Raw genomic sequence first — 1,928 nt, 5'->3', positions numbered from 1 at the left:
CCTGGACAACTCCAGCTGCCCGGTTCATCCTTTTCAGCACGCTGCCTGAGATCAAACGGACCAGAGATGAATGCCTAAAACACAGAGTGGCTGATTGGGCAGATATGTCTTAAGTTTCCAAATTAATAAATATATCGTTGTAGGCTAAAGTTTCCAAATAATAACAATACTAACAATAGTAAGCTAATAGAAAGGAATGGCTCAACAGGGTAACGCCGGCCCACTGGCGTCCAGAAACAGTTGAAAGGCGTTTGTCCCACAACGTTTGGTAAGCGAACGCTGCACCGCGCACTCGCTGGTTCTGGGCTCCCAGGTGACCGCTGTTTCCGTTCCCACCAATCCCGTCCCGCTGCGCCTCGCCTGTGTCCGCTGCGAGTGGGATTCGCCATTCCCAGACTCCAGGTAGCCAGGAACGCGCCGCGCGGGCCGCGTCCCCATCCCCTCGGGCCCGCGCATCCTTGGGAAACGGCCTCGGGAGCGCGCTGTGGGGGGTGCAGGGTGGAGTCCCTTCCCCTCCCCCTTCCGAGGACGCAAGGGCGCGGGGGCCCTGATCCGCCGCCAGGTGGCGCTACGGGCCCAGCCACCGCGCTCCAGGGCCGCGTGGGCTCCGCTCCTGTGACCGACGTGCGGGGGCGCTGCGGGGCGCCGGCTGGTGTCGCGGGCCGGGGACACAGGCTGGGGGCGCTGCAGGTGGGGCGGGCTGGGGGCGCTGCGGGGGGCGCTGCGGGGGGCGCTGCGAGGAGGCGGGCTGGGGGCACTGCGGAGGGGGCGCTGCGGAGGGGGCACTGCGGGAACCCGGGCAGGGGGCGCGGGCTGGGGTGCGGGCGGGAACGCGGGCTGTGGGCGCTTCGGAGGGGGCGCTTCGGAAGGGGCGCTGCGGGGACGCGGGCTGGGGCCGCTGCGGAGGGGCCGCTGCGCAGGGGGCGCGGGCGCCCGAGCCTCCTCTGTGGGCTCCGTCGGCGGCAGCTGACGGTGGAGTCTGGGCCTGCGAAGGTGACCTGATCCTTTGCTCTTTCAAGAGAAGCCAGAAAGCTAGATTTTTGTTTGAAATGTTGGCAATTGATGTACTTTAAATGTTAAGGGAAGTTCCTTTTCTGAGAGGGGTCGGACGGCTGTCACCGGACGCGGGGTCGTCCTGACTGTGCGGGAAGCCGGCGGCGGGTGACACTACAATGCTGAGGCCGCCCAGAGCCAGAGGCCTTGAAGCTGTCGGGACCCAGGAACTCCCCAGGACGGGGTCCCCAGACGTAGGGCGCGCCCCGGCACCAGGGCCTGGCACCTCTCCCTGCCAGCTCCACCCCTGTCACGGAACCCCATGCCCGCCACGACTGACTTCCTAATGTTCTTCATGGCTGAAACACTTAATTGTAAAACCTTGTTCTCGTGCAAAATTTTAACCATACACAGAAGTAGAAAGAATCACAAACTGGCCGGGCGTGGTGGCTCATGCCTGTAATTCAGCACTTTGGAAGGCGGAGGCGGGCGGTTTACTTGAGGTGGAAAGTTCGAGACCAGCCAACATGGTGAAACCCTGTCTCTACTAAAAATACAAAAATTAGCTGGGCGTGGTGGCACGGTCCTGCAATCACAGCTACTGGGGAGGCAGAGGCAGGAGAATCCTTGAACCCAGGAGGCGGAGGTTGCCGTGAGCCGAGATCGCGTCACTGCACTCCAGCCTGGGCCACAGAGAGAGACTCCATCTCAAAAAAAGAAAAGAAAATACACAAACCCCGTGTACCCATCACCTAGCTTCAGAGATTGATGTTCATAGCTAGGTGTCACCTATTAATCCCCACCCCCAGGACACTTAACCACACTGTACCCCACCCCTGTGGGGTTATTTTGGAGCAAATGTGAGAAATCATCTCTCTTTCTCCATAAATATTCCAGGGTGTGTCACTAACAGTTAAAGACTCTTTTTAATATAA

General features: G+C 60.4%; 1 annotated feature.

Moving 5' to 3' along the window:
• Window positions 288–727: a silencer, noted in NCBI's record as "silent region_2933". NCBI's record gives its function as "represses an Ori minimal core promoter by ATAC-STARR-seq in GM12878 lymphoblastoid cells {active_cell/tissue: GM12878}" and the evidence as "EXISTENCE:reporter gene assay evidence [ECO:0000049][PMID:35858748]".

Source organism: Homo sapiens, chromosome 10 (genome assembly GCF_000001405.40).
Source record: "Homo sapiens chromosome 10, GRCh38.p14 Primary Assembly".
In the NCBI taxonomy this organism is placed as follows: Eukaryota; Metazoa; Chordata; class Mammalia; order Primates; family Hominidae; genus Homo; species Homo sapiens.
Note: the sequence above shows the minus strand (reverse complement) of the source record. Positions and strands in the feature narration are given on the sequence as shown.